This window comes from Homo sapiens, chromosome 20 (genome assembly GCF_000001405.40).
Source record: "Homo sapiens chromosome 20, GRCh38.p14 Primary Assembly".
Taxonomy (NCBI): Eukaryota; Metazoa; Chordata; class Mammalia; order Primates; family Hominidae; genus Homo; species Homo sapiens.
The window spans coordinates 16,720,118-16,747,629 of record NC_000020.11 but is presented as its reverse complement, the minus strand read 5'-3'; the positions used below and the strand labels follow the sequence as shown (position 1 = coordinate 16,747,629).

Genomic DNA, 27,512 nt, shown 5'->3' with positions numbered 1-27,512 from the left:
CTCCTAGAGGCACCAAAGTGGAACCGCCAGTCCCTAGCTCCGTCTATTCAGCAAATATTTACTGAGCACTTACTGTGCCAGGTATAGTTCTGGGCACTAAAGATATAGCAGTAAATTTAAAAAAAATATTTTGGCCCCAAGTGTTGCTTTCTATTAGAAGAGACAGACAGTAAGTTACTGCTTTTTATAGGGTGTTTGAGGCTGGCATCTCTCCCATAAGGTGGCCCTTCCCCTGTTCTTATCCATTGCTTCTAGAATAGAGATCCTCTCAGGATGCCTTCTCCACCTTGGTTGATGATGTGACTTCGGAGCAGTGCCTTCTCCCCCAACCCCAAAGTCGTAACCTCATAAAATGAGGGACAAGAATTTAACTTACTAAATAATTTTGTGCAATACAATTTCCCAAGGGATAAATGGGTAAGGCAAAATATAATAAAAAGGTTTTTTGTTTTGGGTATATGTGTGTGTGTGATAGAGTTGTATTGGTTTGAGTGCATCTGTGTGTGTATGTAAAAGAGTTTTGGTGTGGGTATGGGTGTGGGTATGTGTGGCTGTGTGTGAGTGTGTGTGTGTGGCTGTGTGTGTATGTGTGTGTGACTTTCAAGGGAGGATCTTTTATATAGCTGGTCCTGATTGGAAAGTCTGTTTTATTCATACCTTCATTATAGACAAGGAAACTGAGGCACAGCAAATGCCAGAGTGGTCTTTTTGTTTTTTGTTGCTTTTTTTTTTTTTTTTTTTTTCCGAGATGGAGTATTGCTCTGTCACCCAGGATGGAGTGCACTGGTGCAATCTCGGCTCACTGCACCCTCTGTCTCCAGGGTTCAAGCAATTCTGCTGCCTCAGCCTCCCAAGTAGCTGGGCTGGCAGGTGTGCACCACCATGCCCAGCTAATTTTTGTATTTTTAGTAGAGACGGGGTTTCACCATATTGGCCAGCCTGGTCTCAAACTCCTGACCTCAAGTGATCCGCCCTCCTCAGCCTCCCAGAATGCTGGGATTACAGGCATGAGCCACCGCACCTGTCCTAAAGTGGTCATTTTGAACCATCCTATCTAAAGGTTACCAGAGGGATCATGGTTCAATGCTATTTCAATTCATTGTTGTCAACTTGGAATTGACAAATTAGAATAAATCATTTATTTCCTGTTTCACATCAAGGAAAGATTGAATTCGATATTATTTTTGAAAGCAGAATGCCTTTCCAATTTTTCCCCTGTAATCAATCTAAAGGTCTAAATTTCTGGGAAAACTAAAGCATTGATTAAATCTTCTTAATCCTGATTGCGCAGCTGTTTTATGGACTGTTCCAGTCTCAAACCAGCCCTCAGCATAGGAGAGTTAAAAGACAATTGTCATTTAAGAGGCACTTGAAGAAATGGGGACTGCAAAAACTCCCCATTGGGGAGCATATACAGATCCCCAAAAGCAGGATAAAATGATTAAAAACAAAAAGCAAAATGTGACATTCAAGCTATCACAACTTAGAAAATCAGGCTAATGCTAACGTGAAGCCATTATTGGACATTTGAAGGTGAAGAAATAAAGTAATGAGATAACCAAGCCTTCTGAGTGCAGCCTGGGAAAGCTTGTGGTGTTCTGGCATTCTAAAGTGGCAGACACAGGACAGAAGCTAGAGGCTTCTTGGTAAAATTGCATGCAAATAGGAATTTGAACTTGCAATAATTCAGCAAGTAGCTGTGTCTGGCAGTTATGCCAAAGACACTGGGGCCACTGGGGGTTCAGTGAGGGTTCTGGCCCCAGTTTTCATACTCGTTCCTCTAGATTTTCAGACGTATTCTCCAAACATTCAATCCCTAAATGACATTTTTCCCCTTCAGTTCCTAAATTAGATTCTCTGTCTGGAGTTCTTAAATGGAGGCCATGGCTCCTTTAGGATCTAAGCATGGGCTCGGTCAAGTGCAGGCAGCCTCCTTGTCATGGCCTACAAGCTCCTGTAGGATCAGGCCCTTCTACCTCTGGGATTTCACCTTTTGCTCTCTCCTCCACTCGCTCTGTTCCTCCCATACCAGTTCTCTCTAACTTTTGAAAACACTAAACTCATTTCTGCTTCAGGTGCTCCGAACTTACCACCTAGGATGCTTTTCCCCAGATACTGGCATTCAGGTTCCTGGCCAAGATGCCTCCACAGACAGAACAATTTAAAAGAGCCACTTCAAACCTTCCTCCACCCAATCCCTGTATCACGTGGCTGCAGTACACTGTCCTAAGGCATGTATCATAGCTGACATGCCTGCTTTATTTACTTAGTTTGTCTTCCAACCAACAGTATAATGAAAGCTCCACAAGGCAGGCATCTTTGCTATCTTGTTCCTCACTCTGTCATTAGCACCCGGAAAGATACTTGGTGTGCATTAAATAGGTATTCACTGAATGAATGCACAATTGCTCCGAAATTGTACGCATAGGGGTGTGTGTGTGTGTGTGTGTGTGTGTGTGTGTGTATGCATGCATTTTTCCCCTGGGCAAAGTCCCTGGCTTTAAAAACAGATTGATAACACCTCTAAGAGTCATTGAATAAATCATTAGGGTAGAAACTCTGGGGTCTTGCAACTTGCCACCAAAACATGGTCCCCAGACCAGTAACTTTGACATCACTTTATAGAAATGAAGTTTCTCAGACCTCACCCCGGAGACACAATCTAAATCTACGTTTTAATGAGATACTCAAGTCACCTGTATGCACATTAACATTTGAGAAGTACTGTTTCCAGGCAAGTAAAATACCGTAATTTTAGCTCACATTCTTCATAAGGTCTTGGCTGGATATATTTTCAAGGAAAAACAAATGCTTGTTAAATACTCAAACAGAAGATACTATAAGGCTTAAAGTTTAAAATGGAGTTTTGAGTTTCTTGCAACTGAGGTAGGAGACCAGAAGAACTTGTTTTCTGGTCACCACCCTGCTGACCAGAACAGGATCTGGTCCAGGCAGTAAAAAGTGAAGAAACCAGCAGGGACAAGGAGATGTCAAGAAAAGCGATCCTCAGCTGTCTTCATTGTTTATTAGCATAAGCCACTCCCATAGTGCCATGACAGTTACAAATGCCATGGCAACAACCTGGAAATTACCACCCCTTTCCATGGCAATGACCCAGAAGTTACCACTCCTTTCCTAGAAAGTTCTAAATAATCTGCCCCTCAATTTGTATTGAGCCTCCCCTTAATTTGCATGTGACCGAAAGTGAGTTTAACTGGGTATAAATGCAGTTGCCAAGAGCCAATACTTTGCCAACTCTGGGCACACCGTGTATGAATTAGCCCTGCTCTGCAAGGGGCAACACTATTTACCAAAAGACTGCTGTTTACCACCATGAGCTCACCCTTGAATTCTTTCCTGGATGAAGCCAAGAATCCTCCTGGGCTAAGCCCCAAGTTTGAGGCTTGCCTGCCCTGCATCACAACCATTTCCAGAATTAACATTATCCTCTATTTATCAATATACTACTTTTGAAAAACACCATTTGAGTCAATGATCTATGATGCCCTACTTCATGAAAGTAGAAACCTGCTTTGTTAGTTCTTAATCTTGGGTGACAAGGGAATCACCCTGGGGGGGGAGGGGGGTTTATAAAAATATTGATGACTACGTTTCATCCCTGGAGACTAATTGATCTGGGGTGTAGATTGAGCATGGGTATTTGAAAATGGCTCCCAGATGATTCTAATATGCAGCCAAAGTTAAGAACCACTATATTAAATAACATCTACTCCCTTCAATCATTCCTCAAAACTCACACTCCCAAAAGATGGATGAGATAGGGAAGGTCAAAAGATCTTGGTTTGACCAAATCTTCTTTAAAGCATTGCTGTCTCCTTTTTCCTTTCCCCTGCTCCCTATTGAAGCCTTATAGAGTTTGATTGCACAGGAAAGATTTGGGAAAATTAGCAAATATAATATATTGAAGTTAATGGGACTGGTGGAGAAGTGATTTATACACAGGGGAAGGGGGAGAGCCAGGATGAACTCAGTGCTGTTAAGACTGCAGAGACATTCTTAGACATTCATAGTTTTTAACATAACTGTGTAGATATATCCAGAGGTAGACAGACTATCTCTATATAAAATTCACATCATGAAAGACAAGGAGAAGCTGAGGAATCAACAGGAGGCTAAAGAAACATGACAACTACATGCAACACAATCCTGGATTGGATTCTTGAGCCATTATTGGAATATAAACAAAACTTGGATTGGATGATAATATGGGATTATTTCCTGTTTTGTTTGAGACAGGGTCTCACTCTGTTGCCCGGACTGCAGCATAGTGGCATGATCACACATAATTGTAACCTCAACCTCCTGGGCTCAAGCAATCCTCCTGCCTCAGCCTCCCCAGTAGTTGGGACTTCAGGCACACACCACCACATCCAGCTTATTTTTTTTCTTTTTGTAGACACAAGGTCTCACTGTTGCCCCAGTTGGTCTTACATGACCCTCCCACCTCAGCCTCCCAAACCACTGGGATTACAGGCATGAGCCGTCGCACCCAGCCACATTCCCTGGTTTTGATGGTCATTATTGTGGTTATGTGGGAGGGTGGTCTTGTACTTAAGAACACACATTGAAGTATCATGGAATAATGGGGTATCAGGTCAATGTAATCACAACCTCAAATAGCCCAGAAGCCTAGAAACATTAATGATTAATTTGAAGTGTTATGAAAGTTCTGTGTACCATTTCTGCAACTTTTATGTAAATTAGAAATTGTATCAAACTATCACTCTTCTGCTTGAAATCTAATAGAACATATGCCCAGACTTGTATGTAAATTTTCATAGCCACTTTCTTAATAGCCTCAAATTGGAGAACGCAAATGCCCATTCATTGGTGGAACTGCTGATATAGGCAACAGCAGATACATTTCCAAAGCATTCCAGACAGGGCGAAACTGTTGGGACAGAAAGCAGATCAGTAGTTGACTACGGCCAAGGGTAGAGGGGAATAGATTGACTGCAAAGGCGTACAAGGGAAATTTTGGGGGTGATGGAATGCTCTGTACTGATTATTACATGACTATATACAATTGCCCAAACTCATCAAATGGAACACTAACATGGGTGAACTTTATTGTACGTAAATTCTAACCCACTTTAAAAAAATTCTCTAAAATAGTCCCCCATTTCACTCAGAGTATAAGCAAATCCTGAAGAAGACCTACACGACCCCTCTTACTATTCACCCCCCTCATTCTCACCCCAGGTGAGCCACCCTGGCTTTTCTGCTCCAATACAGCCACTCAAAGCATGGCCAGGACTGGGCATGGGATCAGTCTGTGAATTATTTTCAGTTCTTAGACAAGTACGGTATCCGAGAGTAAGCAGTTAGAAAATTTATCAGCAATTGACATCACTGTAATATACAAGAACATGGCCCATTTTCTAGTAATTCACTGTTAATATATTTTACAAAAGTACAGGAGCTTGACTACTGGGATTAAAAAAGTTATTCAGAAGAGTCAGACTAACTGTGACAAAGTTATAGGAAACATTTTTTTCCTCTTTATGTATGCATAAGAGTGATGTGATACTGTCTACGTAAGTCTAAAAGTCTTTCCATAAGTAGACAATAAAAATTCCAAGTGATAAAGGTTTTGTTCAAGGAATACTAAAACAGGAACACCAGAAAAATAAGTACTGTTTTCTTTTTTGTTGTTGTTACTATTAATATGTACCATACTTGTAAAAACAAATTGTCCACTTCTGGAGATACCCATGGTTTACTCAGCAGAGGACTGAATCAATAGCCTTAAACATAAATCAAAAGCTAAAGAAAATGGGCTTTGGAAATATTTGAACATTGGTGTTTAAGAATTACAAAGAAGTAGCAAGCTTAGCACTGGCAACTCTTTATTAATCAGTCTATTTGTCTTAAGGGGGAAAAGAGACTATAGATCAAAAAATTTTTACCCTGGAGGTCTTTCAATAAAGAGATTGCATATTAACCTTAGAACAGTCCTGCCTCATGAAGGAAACAGCATTAAATGCAAAGTGTGAAGATAGCATTCCCTTTCTGTTTTCTCAGTAAACAGTAAGAACAGCCTTTATTTAATACTGAATGAAGAAAACTTGTGGAATCCCTACTAGCAGCAAAATAATATATTCATTTCTTAAAAGGATACAAAGATCAAATTTAGATCCTGCCTGGGTCTCATTTTCTTCTAATACCCAGAACAATCATTGTTACCATTAATACAACAGTCATCTACTAGCTTCTGTGATCTAATTTTACTTAACTTTTATTGAATGGTTCAATGATGTTGTATAATTAGCTCCTCCAAAGTAACACTAGAAAAGCATCCTATTACACAAGTTTATAAACCTTAAGTGTGTTCTAGACTAGAAGTCATTTGATGATAGGGAGATGGGTCAATCAAGAAAGCATTATATACACAGAATACAAATAAAAGTTTATTGTACAAAATTAAGGCCTTCGTATTTCATAGTTCACCAAGGCTAAAGAAACACTGGATAATTTAAGTCCTTCACAAAAATTTCACTTTTACTCCTCCTCATCTCTAACTATTAAAATGACCCAGCCAAATGTTATCAAAACAAACACTGTAAATAACACCAAGTCTTTTAAAGACGACTATCCCAAATGTTATTTCTTGGCATAGGTGATCTTCATAGCATGGGACGGTGTGATCTTAAATCCCTGTAAAGCATCCCTGGCAGCTCCAGCCTGCCCATCATTTTCAAATTCAACAAAAGCAATGTCATGCCTCCCTGGTACCAGACGTACTTCCTTGAAGCCAGGGAACCTATAAAGAAGAAAAACAATTCATGTATACAGCAAGTACATAAATGTTTGCTTTGTGTTAAAATTTGTTAAGCAACTTCCTAATACTAGTCCAAGAAAAATAACCATACTCTAACCAAGAATACTGAGTAGACGGAAGAGCCTCATGTGTAATTAATACCATGGAAGAACTGCAAGAATAAACTAATTCTATTTTATATTATATCAAAGCTTTGTTATTACATCAATCAGAGTTAAGAATTCAAACATTAGAGGAAATTTAGCTTTGTATTTGCTAAATCGGCAAATTGGCTCCAATTCATGATTCATCCCAAACCAAATCAATGAACCTGTAAGGAATTACTGCTGTGTGATAAATGGATTCAACCCACGGAAGTACTACTTGTCCTGTGAGGAAGCTCTCAGAAACAGACTTATTTATGAAAAAACTTACTGATTAAACAGCATGGATAACATCATCTCATTAGTCTCTTCTGGTAAGTTATTAAGGAATAAAATATAGTTTGGAGGGTAATCAGGGACCTATTAAAAAGTAAAAAGGCAAAGTTAGCTTGTAAGTTTAAACAGCATCGTAAGCTAGGCATGTGAAATCTTACTATATCAAACAATAAAGCTGAAAAACAATGACACTGGAGAAATAAATCAAAACCTTACAGTAACTAAGCAAGGCAGACATTCAAGTAAAGACACTGAAAGTCTGGAAAATTACAAATCTCTTAAGTGTTTAACAGTATATGAAACAATTATGTTTTAAGCTTCTGGAGGTGAGTCGTGATTGGAGAATTTTGTCACCTGGATAACATAATCAAAGATCTTAATAAAATTAGAGATGGCCAGCAATGTCACCCCTCCGTAGCTGGTTACCACACTCAGTATCACTCAGATACTCAATTCCTCTGTACTGTTACTACTTCCCAGCATACTAAAAAAAAAAAAAAAAATTGGAACTAGAAAGATTACCACCGAGAACCACTGCTTAGGGACTTTTAATTTACTTATTTTTGGCAAATAAATGAGATATACACAGCATCTAGTTACATACAAACAAGCAGTAACAAACACTTAGTTTATTAGATATTACTCATTTGATATCCCACCCAGAGGTTATGGGGAACTAAAGAAAGGGTCTTCTATATAAGAAAAGAGCTCTGTCTTCCTGCTACTGTCATAAAAGAGAAAAGAGCAAGTATAAAAAATAATTAGTGAACAACTCAAGGCTTAGAGGATTAAGTGCTGGCATTTGTGAACTGGACTATAAATGCTGAGGAGATAAAAAACCCAAGTAACTTAAAACAAGAGGAGAAAAACCTCAGTGGTACAGAGAATTCTATGGATTTAAGGATCTTGCCAGACCCCGCCATCTGGAAAAAAAAAAGTATGAAACCATCAGCACATTACTGAGGCCTTCTCTTTGAGGTATGTCATGGGGAGATTTAATACGGAGTTTCTAAAACATTTGTACAAGGAGGCTTAAAAAAAAAAGGCTGGAATTTATTTGTGTTCAGGAAGTGAGAGCAAAGGTTAACTATAAAACTATGTGCCCAAAGAGTGTAACACTGTAGTGTTTCAACCAACTGGAATGGAAGAGAGCCCCTGACCCTGCCAGTTACCCTTACCCATGCAACTGTGTAAAGCTTTAGGTACTGTAGAGGAAACCAAAATGTTTGCTCCCAGCCCTTAGAGTTTAAAGTCTGTCATTTTGATTCTGTCATTGATTCATTATGGAAAACAAGAAATAAAGTCAGGTGTCGTTTTCTCTCTCTAAAAAAGAATTAAAATGTTCTTCAGGAGTTGAGTTCTTACATTGCAGTGGCAGACAATTTAACGCACTGTGTCTTGTAGATGAAATCATTTTGTTTTTGGAGACATGGAAATTGTTTTATACCACTGCTGTAATTTTTACAATCTTATTTTAAGGTAAGCACGACATGGAAAAAAAATTACCTGAGGATTTGGTGTTGAATTTCCTTGGGTATTAGCTGAATTTGGAGTTCCCTAAGCAAAATAAATAGGGAGAGTTTAAATATCCAATCCCTCCAAAAACGCAGCAGGTATTTATATTTATAATTACTGCATTAAAAATAACATTAATTCCAAGAGATATCCTTCTTACTCCATTTAATTTTACTTTAAGAATTTATATCTTAACACTGACTCAAACACTCATGTTCTTAATTTGTCGGTTATTTTTGTTAAGACCAGCCCTAAACTTTAAATAGTATATTATAAAATTTAACCTCTTAGCTTTAAAATTATGGAGAAATATATAAGAGAAAACCAAGGCCTAGTCTTACTTTTAAAAACAACTGGACATAAGTCATTTAATAAAACTGACTTTTAATCACTTTCAATCCAGAAGTAATTACTTTTTGGTGAATTTCACTTTTTTTTTTTTTTTTTTTTGAGATGGAGTCTTGCTCTTGTCACCCAGGCTGGAGTGCAATGGCATAATCTTGCCTCAATGCAACCTCTGCCTCCCAGGTTCAACCAATTCTCCTGCTTCAAGCCTCCTGAGTAGCTGGGATTACAGGCATCCACCACCACGGCCAGGTAATTTTTTGTATTTTTAGTAGAGACGGGGTATCACCATGTTGGCCAGGCTGGTCTTGAACTCCTGACCTCAGGTGATCCACCCACCTCAGCCTCCCAAAGTGCTGGGATTATAGGCATGAGCCACCATGGCGCCAAGCAGTTCATTTCACTTTTATCTGGTATTTCAAATTATATTTTGCATTACTGAATTGTTCAAAGAAAGACACTGTTTTTTTTGTTTGTTTTTTGGGTTTTTTTTTTTCTTTTTTTTTTTTTGAGACAGAGTCTCACTCTGTTGCCCAGGCTGGAGTTCAGTGGCACAATCTCGGCTCACTGCAAGCTCCACCTCCCAGGTTCATGCTATTCTCCTGCCTCAGCCCCCAGAGTAGCTGGGACTACAGGCACCCACCACCAAGCCCAGCTAAATTTTTTTTGTATTTTTAGTAGAGACGGGGTTTCACCGTGTTAGCCAGGATGGTCTCGATCTCCTGACTTCGTGATCCTCCTGCCTCGGCCTCCCAAAGTGCTGGAATTACAGGCAAGAGCCACTGCGCCCAGCCAGAAAGATACTTTGAGTGAAGTACTCATGATTAAAGATAATAACTACAGTATTATTTATAGGCAGCAAAACTTGAGAAATAAACCAAAAGGTATTAACATATTTTAAACAATGATCGAATTAAATGCCATGCAAATATAAAACTGCTTAATATAAATCTCCATGTTAAGGTTTATATTTTGTTTCTTAATACTGAATTTTATAAGTCAACCATTCTAGCTTCTTAAAACCACCTTTTAAACACACATTTATGCACATATACAGACAAGCCTAAGATCATTCCTTACCTGTAAGACAAGCATCTATCAAGTTTTTAACACCAATACAAACAGGAACTTTCTTGGTCTTTCTTACCTGGCCAGGCTTTTTGTTTGTGGTTGTTGCAGTCTGTTCCACAGTTTTGGCTTTTTTCTTTTCTTTTTTCTTTTCTTTGTCAGCAAAAGTTCCACGCATTTTTGATATTATATCCGAATCTGTTTTTGCATACTGTATTCGCTGTTTTAATTATTTGAAAACAGGTTACTTCTCATGCTGAAGGATGTTTACACTAGTCATTAATATTTCAAATTTCATTACGCAAATACACTACAAGCTAATTTTAAACATATCCCTAAGAAAATCTGTCAGAATATACTGAGTGCCAAATGGAAGTAAACTGTGGGCTATAATTCATAATTTAGACAAAGTTAGATTCAAGTGTGTTTATTAGATTAAAAAAACATATATTTTCATGTGAGAAACACAGGACTTTGAAATATCTGTACCACGGCTTCTCTCCATTTAATCAAAGAATAGAGAAAACTGCATTGAAGTGTTAAAGGAACAAATGAGTGGGCTCCACCAGCGGGCTTTGGAATCCTGAACTGTTCAAATCTCCTCAGTGCCTGAGGATCTGGCTCAAGATCAGCTATTCTAATCCAGAGGTATTCAACAAACAACATATAAAACAAACAAAAGCAAAACTGCTCAGCTTGACATAGAACTGTGGCTCCAGAGCCCACTGGAGGCCAAATGCCCTTTCCTCTCCAAACCTACCCTCACCCCACAGTCACAGAGGGAGCACCTAGGGATGCAATTTGAGGGAGCTGGTGAAAAATAAAGAAAATCGCCATTCTAGACTAATCCTGTTTTACAGATAGAATAGGCCCACAGAACACTAGGGCTGGTTTGGCAGAGTCCCCACAGAACAACTTTTCTGGCAGAAAACTAGATGGAAAATTTCTTTTAAACCATTTTTAATGAGTTTATTTGAATTTTTTTTCATTTTTTAGAATTCTAAACATCATAAATGTGAGGATTTAAATAAAACTTTTTTGCATCGTAACTTTTTGGATGTACAGCTCTGAGTTGTAACATTTGTAAAGATTAATGTATCTACCACCACAATCAGGACACAGGGCAGTTCTATCACCTAAAAATCCCCTCATGCTTCCCCTTTGTTACCCCACCCCTCCTCTTCCAAACACTCATCTGTTCTCTGTCCCTGCTGCCCTTTCCAGAATGTCACATAGATAGGATCATACATGATATAACCTGGAGGCTGCCTTCCTTTACTTGGCATAATGTCTTTGAGATTCATCTATGCCGTTGCTTTTAACAGCGAGTAGTATTTCATCGTATTGATGTACCAATTTGATTTACATCATTCAATGAAGGATACTTGGTTTGTTTACAGTTTTTGGCGATTAGGAATAAAGCTGCTATAAGCACGTGTGTTTAAAAAAACAGACACACACAGAACAAAAACAACAACAACAAAAATGCATTGGAGAGTTGCCTTCCCCTTACCAGTGACTCTCAATAGAAGCATTGACATGTGTCGCAGCTGTGGAATGTGTCATATGGAATGTTACTTCCAATAGTTAAAAGTACAGAAGACTGGGAATGACTTTCCTTTGAATCTATCACCTTTACATGAAATGACTTTAACAGTGGAATCAACTTACTAAATTTTAAAATGTTTTAAAAGGAAACAAAAGAATGGAATCACAGATAATGTGACTGGACCACTTGCATATGCCTTTCATGCTGGCACCAAGAGGCAACAGTTACAACAGGGAAGGGTTCAAAAACTTGTCCAAGATAGTATTTGATCAATTATAGTTTGCATTCCAAATGCCTGGAAAGTAGGTAAAAGCTCTGATGTAGTAGGTCTGGGCAAACCTGGGATTCTGCACTTGTAACAAGCACAAAGAAGATGGTAATGTTATTGGCATGGGGACCACATTTTGAGTAGCCCTGGCTTAAAGCATTATCACATAACTATACTCAGCGCCAATGAACTGTCTGAATATTTCTGCCATAAGTTAAACCGTTATCTAGGTAGGACTATCTGCAATCTCCAACCTCCATTTCAAGCAAACTCTTCCTCCTTGGAGCTGAAAGAATTATTGCCTCTCTGATCAAAATGCAATAATCCTACAAATTACTACTTTGTAGTAATCTGTACAAATTACTTTGTATACAATAGGTATGCAAAATTTTATTGCCTCGTATAACAAGAATTTGATCTTGATCTGAAGAGAACAAGAAACATTTTAAAGTAGTGTGGATTACAAAGCAAAGAATTTGTCAAAACCAAGATCAGTTCTTCCTCTTCCTTTACTTCAGCTAGAGATGACTACACTGGGGAAACAAGAGGGGAGGGAGTAGGCCTAAACCCACACCTCAGAATCCCAGGCTCTTTCTGGCTGGTCTGGGCTGCCGTACCACAGTGGCTCTAAGTGTGCTTATCCCTGCATGCAACTCTGCTAGTCTTGCCATCATCATCTAACCAAAAGGAGACAGGCTGAAGGGTTAGACTAACTTCTGACTTGGTCCTAAGGGTTCCCTCACAACTCCCTTGGCTCTGCAACCTCGTGCCTGACCTGAATAGATCTTCGGTGACCTGATTTGTCTGTCCTTATGACCTAGTCACCTGTGAAAACACCTGATCTCAGCAATAGCTCTTAGCTGGCTCATTTAAACCAGTGGTTCTCAACCAGAGGTGATTTTGTCTGTCAGAGCACAGCTAGCACTAGCTGGAGACATTACTCGTTGTTATGCTACTGGCATCCTGTGGGTAGAGGCCAGGGATGCTGTTAAACACGGGGTAATGAACAAGACAGCCCCCTGCAACAAAGACTCACTCATTTCAAAATGTCCAAAGTGACAGGGTTGAGAAACGCTAGTCTAGGCTAAATACCTATTAGAGATAAAAGTCTAACCACAACTTAGAGAAGGGCAAGATTTACACTTATGCCAAAGTTTTCATGACGAAGCCCTTAGGAAGACAGTTCTACTTTATTAAGGTACTTTTGGCATTAACTAAATGCCCTTGAATCAGAGAGAGTAATTCTGTTCTGAGTTCCAAGTTATAGCAAATTTTGTTCATTTCTGATCGGTATGTTGGAGTTAAAACAGAAGAGCAACTACAACCACAGTAAGACATAAACAAGACAGCCCAAAGAACTCTATTTCCCCTCTTCTAAGATGGAGATTTGGCAGTATCTGTTACCTTTCTGTAGGAAAAGAATAGACCTCCCAAAATGCTTCAATATAATAATCAATCTAATACACTTTCCCACTAATTTTAAAAAATAATTAGTTGGCAAGGTGAGGCTGGTGCCCAACACAGCAAACAATTTCCTTTCCTGTATCTGAGTAACAGACACATGCAAACTTGTCATCTCAACTCAGCAAAATAGCTCTAAACCCTCTATGGGAAGAAACTGTACTTTCAAGTTAATATAATTTTAGATGTAAGCTAAAACCCAGGCCCTATGCTGCTGCCAACTGAGATCTCAATTATGGTGTTTCTTTATACTACTATGAGAGACCGCCTGGTTTCAGGAAACACCAATATACTAAAAATTACATTACATAGGTACCATCCCACAGTTTCCTGGGATAGGCTTTTCCACAAAAATGGTGTCCAGTCAGCTGGGAAGTGATGGGAAAAGGAGAGCTGGATAGAGGATGAGAAGAACTTGCTCTAATAACAGAAAAAAAGGTGCTGAGGCTTGAATTAAGCATCATGGTATAAAACAGGGGTCCTCAAACTACTGTCTGTAGCCAACACTGCCTGTTCTCATCTGGGACTGCTCTTCCTGCTATAAAAGCAGAGTTGAGTAGTAGTTGCAACACAGATTATCTGGCTTGCAAAGTGTAACATATTTACTATCTGGTCCTTTACGGAAAGTTTGCTGACCTGTAATGCAGAAAAAAAATCACAATACTAGCTGTTAGATTAGTTGTCAACTCCTGAGGCTGCCACTGGTTATATTACTATAACCTAGATGAACAATTAAACTTTCTATGCCTGTTTCTTCATCTGCAAAATGAATGGGTTAGATCAGCGGTCTGTACCACAGTCTGTGAGCCAAACCCTGCCCACAGGCCTGCATTAGCATGGCCTACATGAATTTTCTTAGATAATGTTAAAGGGTTGTTAAAAAACGTAAGTACATAAAAGAACAGGTAACAGAAACCATATATGGCTTACAAAGCCTAAGGTATTATGTACTTCTTTACAGTTTTTGCTGATGCCTGCATTAGACCAAAGAACAACCAATTTGTTTACCGGAGGTGGTAAAACTAACCACGGGCACAGAGCCAGTTAATAGTACAACCAGAATGAAGACCCAGCTCCTCTAAACCCTGGCCCTTGGCTCTCTGTCCAACACTCCTTCACATCACATTCTAATCGCAGAAAAAAAGCAGTTTGGAATCCACACCTAAGATATGGTGTATTCACTCATACATAGAAACCCCTTGCTTCACACTCTGTGGTCACCCTTATCTGATCCTCTACCATCTCTGACTTACATCAAGGGCCTCCTAATTGAGTTTCCCACTTCCTTTCTGTCCCTCCCACAATGCGACCTTCATCCAGCAGCTAGATGTGAATCTCATTATGTCATTCCTGAGTTTAAAACTCTCCATTCATAACCATTTCATTTCCATTGTTATTCCTAAAACCTATGAGTTTAAACCTATCATTTTTCCTTAGATCACTGTTTCATCTAGACTGTGCAGCTTCTGACACATAGTATTTCACTACGACATATTCTAAAACTTCAGACTGAATTTCCTCTTTGACTCATGACTTTTGTTTCGTAATGTTTTACAAGTTTACAAACAGGTTTCTTTTCAAGTCTTCCAGGATATTATTAATTTCTAACTTTTTGAGATAAGACTATTGCCTAGACTGCCATTATTTTTTAAAATATTCTACATCTCAATGTATTTTGTTTTTGCCCATCTGAACTGTCATAAATTAAACTCTACCACTACTGTTTTTCTATAAAAATACATAAACCCAAACACACATAATTAAAAGCAGAAAGCAATAGCCACAGTTTCAAGCATATTTACAAATCTACTGTCCCATCAATATCATTAATTTCTTGATTAAAGTGAAATAATGGAATTGGCTTACCATTGGTTTACCATAAAATGGAAATCCTTGTAGCTGTCTCAAGGCATTTGTGGATGAGCCCAGTTCCTTAAATATGACAAAGGCCTGCCCCCTCATCTTCATGGTCTTTAAAGCCACAATGTCCACCACATGACCAAACTGAGAAAACAGGGCATATAGGGATCTCTTCAATTCTGTCCAAATTAGAAAAGAAACAAGTTATTGGTAATAAAGTAATGACAAAAGTCTTCATAAAATGATACTGCATTGAGTTGCCCCCCCCACCATTCACTTATTTATACAGTTATATATTTTAATATTTATAAAAACATATACTATTCCCATTGGCTATATGTAATTTTAAAAGTTATATGAAACCATTATATCTATGAGTAGAAACAGACTGTACACACTGTCAGTTCCTACCTATTTTTGTTTTTTAAAAGCCTTCAAATCCCTATAGGAAATGGGATAAACCATTATTTCAGGCACTAAGATGATGAGGTAAGAGGTTTTGAGGCAGTACAATTTTTAAGACAGTAGTAAATAAACACATTTTAGTAGTGAACAAGTATTCTAAAAAGCACTTACCTTCCTTTTTAATTTTGTCATTCATATTGTTGATATAAATTGTATGATTTGGTCTGATATCCATGTTTGTGTTAAATTCTTCAGGAGACAGTAAAAAATCTGTTATAAAAAGGAAGGAGTAAATTATACTGGACTGTGGCATAAGGACACAACACAAGAATTATTAACTTTTCATTTCTCTTTCAATCCCAGTTGTCAGAAAATGTCAGTTTGGCTGTAGCCTTTATTGTATCTCCAGCACCTACTAGCCCTCCTTTTCATACAGAAGAAGAACAGTTTCTCACATTCAAAACTTGGAGCACCAATACCTAGCCAGATTTTAGTAACACCATTTAATTCAACACATTTATTTTTACACTTACGTTTCACTTATGACACGTGACATTTTCTTTCCACCTCCTCAATGAAATAATTTTAAAATGTAGATTTGAAGAAAAATGACCAAAGTAGCAAATGTACATCCAGTAAAAATCATAAGGTTAGACATTAATGAAGTTTGCCAACTACTTAATGGGTGCACTTACAAAGTCCTTCCATACCTATTAATTTGTATACAGCATCACCAAGCTGTCTGGACTCCAAGGTTATCTCTAACCGACTTGAAAGAAAGGAGCTCAATGACAGCAGTGTGGCATGACGATTAAACTCAGATTCCAGTATCAGCCAGATGTGAATTCAAATCCTATTTATGCTTCTTACTAGCTGTTTGCCTGAGGGAAGTTCCTTAACCTCTCAGGTCCTCATCAGTAAAATAAGAATGGTAACAGAACCTACCCAATAGAACTCAGAAGACTAAATGAATTCTAGCACAGTTCTGCATCAGCGGTAAACACTTAAGAGTAGCTATTATTAACAGCTATTACCAGGTAAGGAACTTGCCTAAGGTCACACAGCTAATAAGCATCAGGCCTGGAAATTCAGCCCTTGCTTTCTCCTCTACACTTGTCTTCCTCATATACCACACTATTGCATTTTTTACATGGTTTTTACTTGCAAATTGTGAACTTGGATGATTTCCTTGTGTGCCCCACATATTCCTTTATCTCACAGTATTTACAGAGCATCCACTGTATGTGAACTGCATTGGATGATTGACAAGGGAAGAGCCTACAAGCAGGGGCTGCACTTGTGCAGGTAACAGGTAAAACGTAACGCTTCTCAAAGCCTTGCGACCCCCTAAATCGAAATCTGGAGAAGGGGCAGGGGTCGCAAAGGAGACGACGAAAGGGAAGTGACTGAGGCAGAGGTCAAAGTGAAGGTAGGGGGACAAAGGGGAGGCTCTTGCAGGGTTTCATGCGAGGTTTGATCGTGGGCTGCGTTGTTACAGGGACACCCTGAATTACCCGCCACCACCAAAAGGGAGCCGCTGGAAGACACCTGAAAGCGCAGTGAACTGTCCACGCCTCGCACGAGCAGACTGACATTAACTATCCTTTACTTCGTACGCGCAAGCCTCCCGCCTCTCCAGACACAAGCACCTTCGCCCAAGGCCCCCTAACGAAGTCCAAGGGAGCTGCCACGCGATGCCCGGCCCCAGAGTCAGTCTCCTCACCCCCAAGCCTGCCCCTCCGAGATCCAAACCCGGGCCAAACGCGTACCCACCCCAGCTTCGCGCTTCGTCCGCTCCCAGCTGCAACAGGGGAGAAAAGGGCCGAGGAGCCAGGAAAACCGAAACAGCGAGGTAGAAGGCGCACGAACCCACCTAAGGCCTACGCCGACTACTGTAAGAACCAAAAGCAGGAAACGGAGCCAGGCACCGGAAGCAACGTAGCCACGCTCCTCAATCGAGCGCCGACAAGTCTAGAAGCCGAGCACAGAGCCGATCGATGCTTCCGGGTCTCTGGCAGCCAGGGCTGGCAATCTCTCTGCGCGTGCGTCTGCCCTGCGGGCAGGAGAAGAGTCCGGAAATGGAAATGGGGAAAGAGAAGGGGGTTGTGAGGACCATGCTGCGAGGGAATAGTGAAGGGGAGTGAATCATTTCCCCTACCACGACCTTGCGAAGCTTTACCCGGCGCAACAGTGCCTTCCACCTTTACAAATCCTATGTAATTTTACAGGCGCTGCCCCTCATGCTATGGGGCAGTTAGTCCTGGTTTCGCCCTTCTTTGGGCTCTAGCTACCCCGGTTTAAAATCACCTTTAGGATAGCCAGTTCCTCCTGCCTCCGAGTCTCCTCTGATTCATGGGGCTCTGCAGGAACTGTCCTCCAACACTGTGCTGATGAACTTGAATCTCAGAGGCTACTCAGTTTGAGGGCCCAGGGCAGACAGAACTGGTGTCTGCCCAATTCTCATCTCTCACCAGATAAGGCAACCATGCTGACTAGAACCCAGTCATCTGTAAGATCATCTGCCTCAATTCACTCGAAAAAATAATTCCCTACCACCCTTCCCACTCTTTTCTTCCAACAAAAGGTCTAGATTTTTCTAGGGTATTCTAAGGAGTTAGTATTTATGCCAAGCTGAATGGGAGTTCCCAAAGTGCATGCATTCATTCATCCATCCATTCATCAGATGTCTGTAAAGCATCACCTGGAATATGAAATGGTTGTTAAGAGTCAACTGGAACCTAATCTTGTACCCTCTGCTTAACTAATCTCTCTGACCTTCACTTTTTTCATCTGTAAAATAGGGATCCTAATAGTACCTCCTTCTAGTTGTTGTAAGCATTAAATGAGCTAAAATAAATGTAAAGTGATTGGCACATTGTCAGACACAATAAATGCTCAAAAATGTTATTTCTGAATTCTGGCTATAACTTGGTTCTACTGGTGAGGCAGGTAGCTGTCAAATAAGTTGGTTTTATCAGCTGGGAATTTTTATTTTTTAAAAACACCCAAAGTTGCAACAACTTGAAAATAATATAAGCTTTTTAAGGGTGGGGTTTTTGTCTGCTCTGTTCACTCAAGTACCCTTAGTAATGGGAAAAGTGACTGATAATTAATATGCATTGGATAATTCAATGAATGACATGGAAAACTAGGCAACAGTAAAACAAATATGCTTTGAACATGCACCTGAGTGTAGAGAATGTTAAGGGATCACAGAAAAGCATCGTTTTATTATATAGATCTAAAACTAGAAGAAATGGCTGAGTGTAGTAGCTCACACCTGTAATCCTAGCATTTGGGGAGGCTGAGACAGGAGGACTGGTTGAGTCCAGGAGTTCAAAATCATCCTGGGCAACATAGTGAGATCTCATCTCTAAAATAAATAAACCAATGAGAAGAAATGTCCTATCTCAGTCAAAGAATTATATCTTTAACAAATTAAAAGAGAATATAAACTTAATATAAACAATTTCTAAATAACAAAGGACAAGCTGTTTTGCATATTACTATGAGCATCTCAGCAATTAGTTCTGTTTGATAATAATGAGGATGGCTACACTACTGAGAATAAACTATACTCTGTATTGTATAAGGGGATCTAGCCAAGAGTTGATAACTGTTAAAAGAGAATAAGATGTGATTATACAAAAACACTCCAACCTGGGAAGAAAATACCACAAGAAACACAGAGGCCTGAAGACAGACTGCATGTTGTGTTCTATTAACAATTAAATTACAGCTATTGTACATTACACTGTGAGAAGGAAATCATCCATTGCCAACTCAGCCGCAATGGTCTGCATGCACTTTTCCAGGTTCTTCTAAAAAGAGCCAGTGCATTTTCCTGTCCTTGGGCAGTCACTCTGGGCATTCCAATAACCCGTTAATGATTCTCAGTGGTTTCCTGAACGATTTGAGAAGCCAGTTATTGAGAACAGTACAGGAAGGGAATGATAAGGATCGAATAGCTTTTCTGGTTTTGTGAGAAACCTTGCATAGCCTGGCTATGTAACTATATTAAGAATATTATAGCAGCTAAACTATGGTCACATGTACTGTAAAACATCATCACTTTATAACCAGATCCACTTCTTGAGGGTGAGATCAGGAATCAGATGTCCAAAACTCACATTTTTAAAAACTAGAAGAGCAAATGAGTTTTGTTAGTTCTGCTCAGTCTGTTCTTTCACATTTGGGTTAGGTATCGTGATTTATTTTCCTGTGAAACAGGCTTTTTTTAATCGAGAGAAACAAGGAGGCAGCGTTATAACCACCCTATCCAAGTGTCATGTATTTGCAGATGATAAAACTTGCTTATTTTGGGAGTAGCAGAAAAATTACTACAAACAGTAGGGAATAAAACTGTGCCAAGATGTCTAAATTATAAGGAAGATAACTGAGGTGTCTCTTAGTGACTCTGAATACACATACATTTCCCTACCTTATCTGCACGTGTTTTATGTTTCTCATTAATTGTTTTTGGTATCTTGCTGCAGTAGTTTTAAGAAGGAGCCATGTATAAAGGAAAATGCACCATAAAACTGGTGGATAAATTTTGTCTTATTTATGTTACATAGAGTCACAAAATGTATGGCAATTCGTTTGTATCTTCTTTCTCTCCCCAGGTGGTGATTACATTAAGAAATGTATCTAGAGTGAAATTATTTTCACAACAAGCATTAAACAAATCTAGGCGTTATTGTTGAGCACCAAATCAGGTTTATGTTTTCCAGGGAGGTTGGGATAATGTTGACTGAAACTTCCTAAAAAGCACCACTCTCCCACCCCCAATTCAGGGAGGAAATAATTTTGTGCAATTTTCTTTCATTTTACTTAATTCTTACATTTCATTCTTTGTGGATACATTCTTGCTTTTAGGAATGAAAGAAACCCAAATATGACTATTGCCTCTGATGTTCACTACTGTATTAATGTTAAGAATAGTGTGTCTTTCACATGCAGCAAAATACCCTCTCCCCAGAATGGGTGATGTCTCAGATAGGCTATGAGAATGTGCACATTCCATAAAGTTTGGAAATGGTAGTTTTTCTTTGAGGACCTGATCATTAATCCAAAGAAGTGTGGGGAAAACCTGAACTTTTTTGGTGAACTTTTTGTGAGACATGTAGGTTGTGCTCAGTATTGTATCACCTGCCCTTCCCTAAAGGAGCTAAAGTAGCATCATACAACTGTCGTTCTCTTTGAGACTAGAAAATTAAGATTTCAGTCCCATGAGATGCTCCCATGAAATAAAATATTATGCACACACAACTTTTAAATATAATGGGTTTTGCTTCCCCTATGATTAATCCCTGTAATTTTTTTTGAGTCTTAAGCCTTAGGACAGTTTGAAAACACAAAATTTAAAAAGAACAGCTTTAAAAAAAAAAAAAGACTGTCAGGCCCTGATTGTGTAATTTCAAAAGTGATATATTGTTGATTTCTTGGGCATTCCCCAGATATCTTAATCCAGTGCTGAGAAGCTGCATTTGTAGCAAACTCCCGGATGATGCTGATGCTGCTGGTCCCATACCGCATTTTGGGTAGCAAGAACCTAAGCATTTCTTTTTTAAGAATGGTTGGGGTCGGGCGCGGTGGCTCAGTTTGTAATCTCAGCACTTTGAGAGGCCGAGGCAGGCGGATCACAAGGTTATGAGTTCGAGACCAGCCTGGCCAACACAGTGAAACCCTGTCTCTACTATAAATACAAAATTAGCTGGGCGTGGTGGCAGGCGCCTGTAATCCCAGCTATTCTGGAGGCTGAGGCAGGAGAATCGCTTGAACTCAGGAGGTGGAGGTTGCAGTGAGCCAAGATCATGCCACTGCACTCCAGCCTGGACAACAGAGTCAGATTCTGTCTCAAAAAAAAAAAAAAAGAAGAAAAAAAAGAATGGTTGGTAGGCCAGGCATGGTGGCTCATGCCTGTAGTCCTAGAGCTTTGGGAGGCTGAGGTGGGTGGATCACTTGAGGTCAGGAGCTTGAGACCAGCCTGACCAACATTGTGAAACCCCATCTCTATTAAAAAAATAAAAAATTAAAAAAAATATATATATACACACACAAAAATTAGTCTGGTGCCATAGTGCATGCCTGTAGTCCCAGCTACTTCAGAGGCTGAGGTGGGAAGGTGGGAGAATTGCTTGAACCTGTGAGGTGGAGGTTGCAGTGAGCTGAGATCACACCACTGCACTCCAGCCTGAGTAACAGAGCAAGACCTCATCTCAAAAAAAAAAAAAAGAAAGAAAAGAAAAAAGAAAAAAATGGTTGGTAGATTATTCTAGTATCAAACTGTAGTTATCTCTAGAGCCATAGAGATACTACCAGATACAGAATACTATCTTCCTTTTGAAACACAAATCAACTATTTCTTTCAAAGGAGCTCGTATTTATTTGAAACTTTATTTTAACTGTCTTCTACTGGGCATGTAGACATAAACCTGGAGAGAAAGAAAGTCTGGAATATTTATTCTTTTTAACAGGTGATTGCTTATTTGGGGAGCCCTGGGTCACTTTCTAATTTGTGGTAGTCATTTCAGCTCTTCACAAATACTGTGATTCTTGCTCCTTCCAGGCTCATGGAGGGCTTGCACTACTCTACATCCTTTGAAAATTGGCATGGCCAAGTCACTGCTTTGGCTAATGAATTGTGAGAGCATGAGACATGCATCACTTCCAAGTAGGAGCATCACAGGCCAGTGCACAATTTGCCAGGTGCCCTTTTTCCTGTCCTTGTGATCTTGGAAACATATTGCAAGATGGAACCTCTGTCAAGTGTAGGCACTAATGATTAAAGGACACCCTCCTCCTGCCCAACACACACACACACACACACACACACACACACACACACACACACACACAAATTCAAACTGGTCATGTAATAAAAGCAAGAAATAATTAACTGATATTTAGGGGATATTTGTTAATGCAGCATAGCCTAGCGCCTCCTGACTTTATACATTGATCAAAATCACCTCTGAGAAATAATTCTTGGCTGGGCGTGGTGGCTCACACCCAGCCTGTAATCACAGCACTTTGGGATGCCGAGGCAGGCAGATTGCTTGAAGTCAGGAGTTCAAGACCAGCCTGGCCAACATGGTGAAACCCCATCTCTACTGAACATACAAAAATTAGCCAGGCATGTTGCATGCTCCTGTAATCCCAGCTACTTGGGAGGCTGAGGGAGAATTGCTTCAACCCAGGAAGCGGAGGTTGCAGTAAGCTGAGATCGTGCCACTGCACTCCAGCCTGGGCAACAGAGCAAGACTCTGTCTCAAAAATAAAAAAAAAAGAAAGAAAGAATTTTGGACTATTTCACAACTATAAACTGTTTTTAGTACATAAGAGGTTATATATCTGAGGTGACTCATACCTTTTAAAGGGAAAGTCAAAGTAATCAATGTTTTTCTGCCTAATTGACATTCCAAAAAAAAAAACCAAAGTAATCAATGTTTAGCTATATGATCCATCTTCTGAGTGACCTTTATCGAGTGATTTAACCCCACATTTATTAAGCACCTATATAAGATGACTATATGTGAGAAAATATGTTAGGGCCAAGCTTAGAGAAGAATTGGTGGTTATAGCATTTTCACAAACCTTTAGAGAAGGATTCTGAAGACATAAAGAGATATCATGCTCACAGTCTAATTTTAGGTTGGTCAGAATCATCCTGCAACACAAGATCAGATATTTATAAAACATATCAGGCAAGATTTAAACTCAGGAGACAGGTTGGATTCTTATCACAAAGAAGTTGAAAGAAAAATTATGAAGCCTCTAGTTTGAATTGCAGATTATGCACGGACAAGACAACCCTGAAAATTATTTCTGTCTAGAGAATCCAAAACAATTATGTAATTGAGGCTGATATTTCCTATTCTATTTTAAGGTGAATGTGGGTCAATTCAAGTATTGTAAATTTCTCTATCATTCACTGGCAGAAACATCATCACAAGAGTTAATGAGTTTATTAAAACTGGTGCTGAAAAAATAAGAAATTGTGTTTGTCTCTTATTGATATTGGATGGTCTCTCTGTAATCATAGTCTTTGTTCAGCTTTAATATGAAGCTACTTCCTGACATTTAATGTTACCAAATTACTTCAGCTTTCCAAAGATATTAATATAACTTATAATACATTTTGTCATCTCAGTAGAAGATTATGAATAAGACTGGTCAGTTTAGAAGCCTGAAAGAAATTAGTTCTAAGTTATTTCCTCGTGACTGAAATTGCAAATGTCAGATTCCATTACAAGAGGCTGAGATGGAAAGAGCTCATTCCTTTCTTCGGTTAACATAGGATATCCCAGAAGTCTTTGTACAGCGTCAAGCTTTAAATACTTTAAGTAACCTAAAACCATACTAAGACTTTGGGACTGTCTCACCTTTATTTGGCACCTACAACATAGCAAATCCTACATCTTACCTTTATTGGGCACCTTTAGTGTTTTACCTTTATTGGGCACCTACAACATAGCAAATCCTATGTTAGCTATTGGAGATACAGTAGTGAGGAAGATAGGCATGGTCCCTGCTGTCACAGAGCTTCCCATCTCACAGATGTCACACCAACATGTCAACATTTGGGAGTCTGAATAACTACTATGGAGGTGCTCCCATTACCATTGCTGCATGACAAACTACCTCAGAAAGTTATTATTTAAAACAACAACTGTTAGATTATGCCTTATGAATCCAGTAGATCAGGAATTCAGTCAGACTGTGGCAGGTGAACAGCCTGGTCTAAAGGATCCAAACAGTTTCACTCCCATGTTTAGTGGTAGCAGTGGCTAAAAGGCTAAGCTCAGATGGGACTGTCAACTGGAGCAGCTCCACAGGTTGTTTTCAGCCTGGTGGTCTCAGGGTTGTTGGATTTCTTACATAGGTGCCAGGTTCCCCCAGACCAAGCATTCCAAGAACATTAGGTGGGAGCTTCATGATGCTTTGTAACTTGCCTGGAAAGTCACACAACAAAACTTCTAGCAATTTCTGTTGGCTGCAAGTGAGCTATGAGGCCAGCCAGCTTATATTCAAGGGGAAGGGAATTGGACTCCATTACTTGATGTGAGAATGGAAAATTTACATTGTAGACCACTTCTGGGAAGGAAGAGACTATTCTGGTGGAGGGGCAGGCTTTCTAGACTTAAAGGTAAGAAGGAGCTGGTAGTTAGAAAAGTAGTAAGTAGGAGGAAGGCAATAGAGAGTTCCTCAGGCAGAGAATACTTCTTGCAAAGGTCTGAGATGGAAAGGAATTTGCCAAATTTGAGGAACTGAAAAAAAAAAAAAGCAGCAGACAGTTACAGCTGGAACACAGGAGATGAGAGAGAAAGTTGACTGAGATGAGATTTCCAGGATCAGCTAGCATCTTGTAAGCCATGTTAAGGCATTTGAGGGTTATGCTAAGAGCAATAGAAATCAGACTTCTAAGCAGGAGAAGACATGATATAATGCTATGTGTGGATCTTTCTGAATGGAATGGAGGGGTCAAGTCTAGGCTAGTGAAGAAATGGTGGCAGTGTCCAAGGTAGAGATGAAGGTGGCCTGAATTAAAGTGGCAGCAGAGAAGTAGATAGATCCCAGTTCTATTTAGAGACATGATTCAAAGCCTTGCTGATGGATTGAACATGGAGGGGGTGAGGGTTGGAAGGTGTATTTATTTCCTGGGGCTGCTATATCTAGCTACCACAAACTGGGTGGCTTAAAATAACAGAAATTTATTCTCTTAGCTCTGGAGGCCAGAAGTCTGAAATCAAGGTGTCAGCAGGATCATGCTCTCTCTGAAAGCTCTAGGGAGAATCTGTTCGGTGCCTTTCTCTTGGCTTCTGATGATTGCTGTCAATCTTTGGCATCTCTTGGCTTATAGATACATCACACTGGTCTCTGCTTCTGTCATTACATGTGTATCTCTTTCTGTGTCTCTTCCCTTCTTATAAGGACACTAGTCACATTGGATTAAAGCCTCATCATACTCCAGAATTAACTCAATTTACATCAAATTCCATCTGCGAAGACCCTATTTCCTAATAATGTCACAGTCACAGTTACCTATTTTAGGAGGGGTGCGGGGGCACAATTCAACACAAAACATAAGGAAAAGGGAGGAATAATCAAGAGGCACCTTCCAGGTTTCCAAAGCAAATACCTGGGGAATAGTAATGGATAGTGTTGGGGCAGCGGCAGGCTAGAGGCGGCTGGTAGGTAATCAGGTGTTTTATTTTGGATAGCTTAAGTTTCAGTTGACTGTAAGATATCCAGGTGGAGATGGGAAGCAGACAGATGGATAGGTGAGCCTGGATGTTTTGGAAACTGTACCCTGCTGAGTGACAAGCAAGCGCAGGATAACTGGCTACTATGACAGAGAAAAAAGAGGGACCCAAGGGACCTCCATTCAACCTCTCAAGAAAATGGAGAAAAAATCAAGGTCAATGATGTGCTGATAAATGCTCGACAACCAGCTCTCCAGGGATAGGAGAAGAGAAGAATGCCCCAATTTTTAGTCTGCCAATTTCTATGGTGTAAATACCCCAGCTGGCTGAAAAAATTGCTGAAAACTTGAAAACTGAGTCTCAAGCTAGAACAAGCTGTCCCAGCACAGCACTGAACTCAAGGCCCTGTTTCATGCTACTAATTGTGTGAGTTGAACAATTAACTTACCGGCTCTGGGCCTTGAGGCCTTTATTTATAAAATGAGTGGCTGCTCTGAATGGTCTCTTCAAGGTTCCTTCCTGCTCTCACATCACATAAATCCCAATAGCAAAGCTTTGGTTCTACCCGATAGCAATGAAAGGGGCCCTTTGAACAGAGTATGTGATATTTTACAATCAAACAGTTGAATGGGTAGTGACACTTCTGTTCATGGACTGTCAAGTCTTGGCTTATAAATTTATATACACACACATACAGAAGGAATTTGAGCTTGAATCATTAAAGAAAACCACACAGGCATGTTGAGGACGGATAGAGACAAATAAGAATTTGTCGGTCACATTCAGGGGACAAATGAATAAACTTTGCCAGAATGTTAGAGTCGGAAAGAAATGTGAAATGAACTTGAATAAATAGTAGTGAGCAGCTTCTGTTTTTGATGTTATAAAATGGAGAGTCATGGCAGCCATACAAAAGTGTGAGTTCCGTGTCCTTTGCAGGGACATGGATGAAGCTGGAAGCCATCATTCTCAGCAAACTAACACAGAAACGGAAAACCAAACACCACATGTTCTCACTCATAAGTGGGAGTTGAACAATGAGAACACATGGACACAGGGAGAGGAACATCACACACTAGGGCCTATCGGGGGGTGGGGGGTAAGGGAAGGGAGAGCATTAGGACAAATACCTAATGCATGTGGGGCTTAAAATCTAGATGATGGGTTGATAGGTTCAGTAAACCACCATGGCATTCATATACCTATGTAACAAACATGCACATTCTGCACATGTATCCCAGAACTTAAAGTAAAATAATTTTTTTAAAAAAGGGGGAGTCATTGAAGGTTTGCTTTTCTTTTTATATTTTTTTTAAAAAGAGATTTTTAGTTTTTTGCTTGCAAATTTTATTCTTACAAGGAAGATAATCCATAGACGTCCAATGAACCAAGGCAAATACAGGATTTATAAGAGAAAGGAGAAAAGGGAGAGAAAAATCGGATGGTCTTGGAACAGTGAATTTGGTTTACTTGTTTGGATAAACTGACTTGTGGGCAGTCACCTGATAGGTCAGCTTGACTGACCTTGAGCAAGGGCACTAAATACACTCATTTTGTTTCTTTGTAGATGTGGTAAAAGCCCTTGAGAGTAAGTGTGGCACACTTTGGCAAG

At 39.7% G+C, this 27,512-nt stretch overlaps 1 protein-coding gene across 2 annotated transcripts, besides 4 other annotated features; it reads right to left on the bottom strand.

The window, feature by feature from the left end:
- Positions 1-5,065: 5,065 nt before the first annotated feature.
- Positions 5,066-17,604, bottom strand: SNRPB2 (small nuclear ribonucleoprotein polypeptide B2). Of its 2 annotated transcripts, none has more exons than NM_003092.5 (7): positions 17,466-17,604; positions 15,864-15,962; positions 15,294-15,466; positions 10,229-10,369; positions 8,728-8,778; positions 7,217-7,305; positions 5,066-6,784 (listed from the first exon to the last, which is right to left on the bottom strand). In NM_003092.5, the coding sequence occupies exons 2-7, from the start codon at positions 15,925-15,927 to the stop codon at positions 6,625-6,627; spliced, it is 678 nt and encodes a 225-aa protein (NP_003083.1). In that variant the 5' UTR covers positions 15,928-15,962; positions 17,466-17,604; the 3' UTR covers positions 5,066-6,624. The 2 variants fall into 2 exon arrangements, with proteins under 2 accessions (NP_003083.1, NP_937863.1); NM_198220.3 differs by having other exon boundaries at positions 17,566-17,604.
- Positions 17,147-17,196: a silencer, noted in NCBI's record as "silent region_12684". NCBI's record gives its function as "represses an Ori minimal core promoter by ATAC-STARR-seq in GM12878 lymphoblastoid cells {active_cell/tissue: GM12878}" and the evidence as "EXISTENCE:reporter gene assay evidence [ECO:0000049][PMID:35858748]".
- Positions 17,347-17,466: an enhancer, noted in NCBI's record as "active region_17563". NCBI's record gives its function as "activates an Ori minimal core promoter by ATAC-STARR-seq in GM12878 lymphoblastoid cells {active_cell/tissue: GM12878}" and the evidence as "EXISTENCE:reporter gene assay evidence [ECO:0000049][PMID:35858748]".
- Positions 17,517-17,566: an enhancer, noted in NCBI's record as "active region_17562". NCBI's record gives its function as "activates an Ori minimal core promoter by ATAC-STARR-seq in GM12878 lymphoblastoid cells {active_cell/tissue: GM12878}" and the evidence as "EXISTENCE:reporter gene assay evidence [ECO:0000049][PMID:35858748]".
- Positions 17,625-18,493: an enhancer, noted in NCBI's record as "H3K27ac hESC enhancer chr20:16709782-16710650 (GRCh37/hg19 assembly coordinates)". NCBI's record gives its function as "activates a minimal SCP1, AML or CMV promoter by ChIP-STARR-seq in primed H9 embryonic stem cells {active_cell/tissue: H9 hESC(primed)}" and the evidence as "EXISTENCE:reporter gene assay evidence [ECO:0000049][PMID:30033119]".

Bases quoted from the DNA above. Each gene is read 5' to 3' on its own strand.
- SNRPB2 (NM_003092.5), bottom strand. From the start codon at position 15,927: ATGGATATCAGACCAAATCATACAATTTATATCAACAATATGAATGAC. The intron at 15,467-15,863 runs GTAAGTGCTTTT...TAATTTGGACAG, and splicing joins TGACAAAATTAAAAAGGAAG to AATTGAAGAGATCCCTATAT. The intron at 7,306-8,727 runs GTAATTTTTTTT...ACTTTTTAATAG, and splicing joins ATTCAACACCAAATCCTCAG to GTCCCTGATTACCCTCCAAA.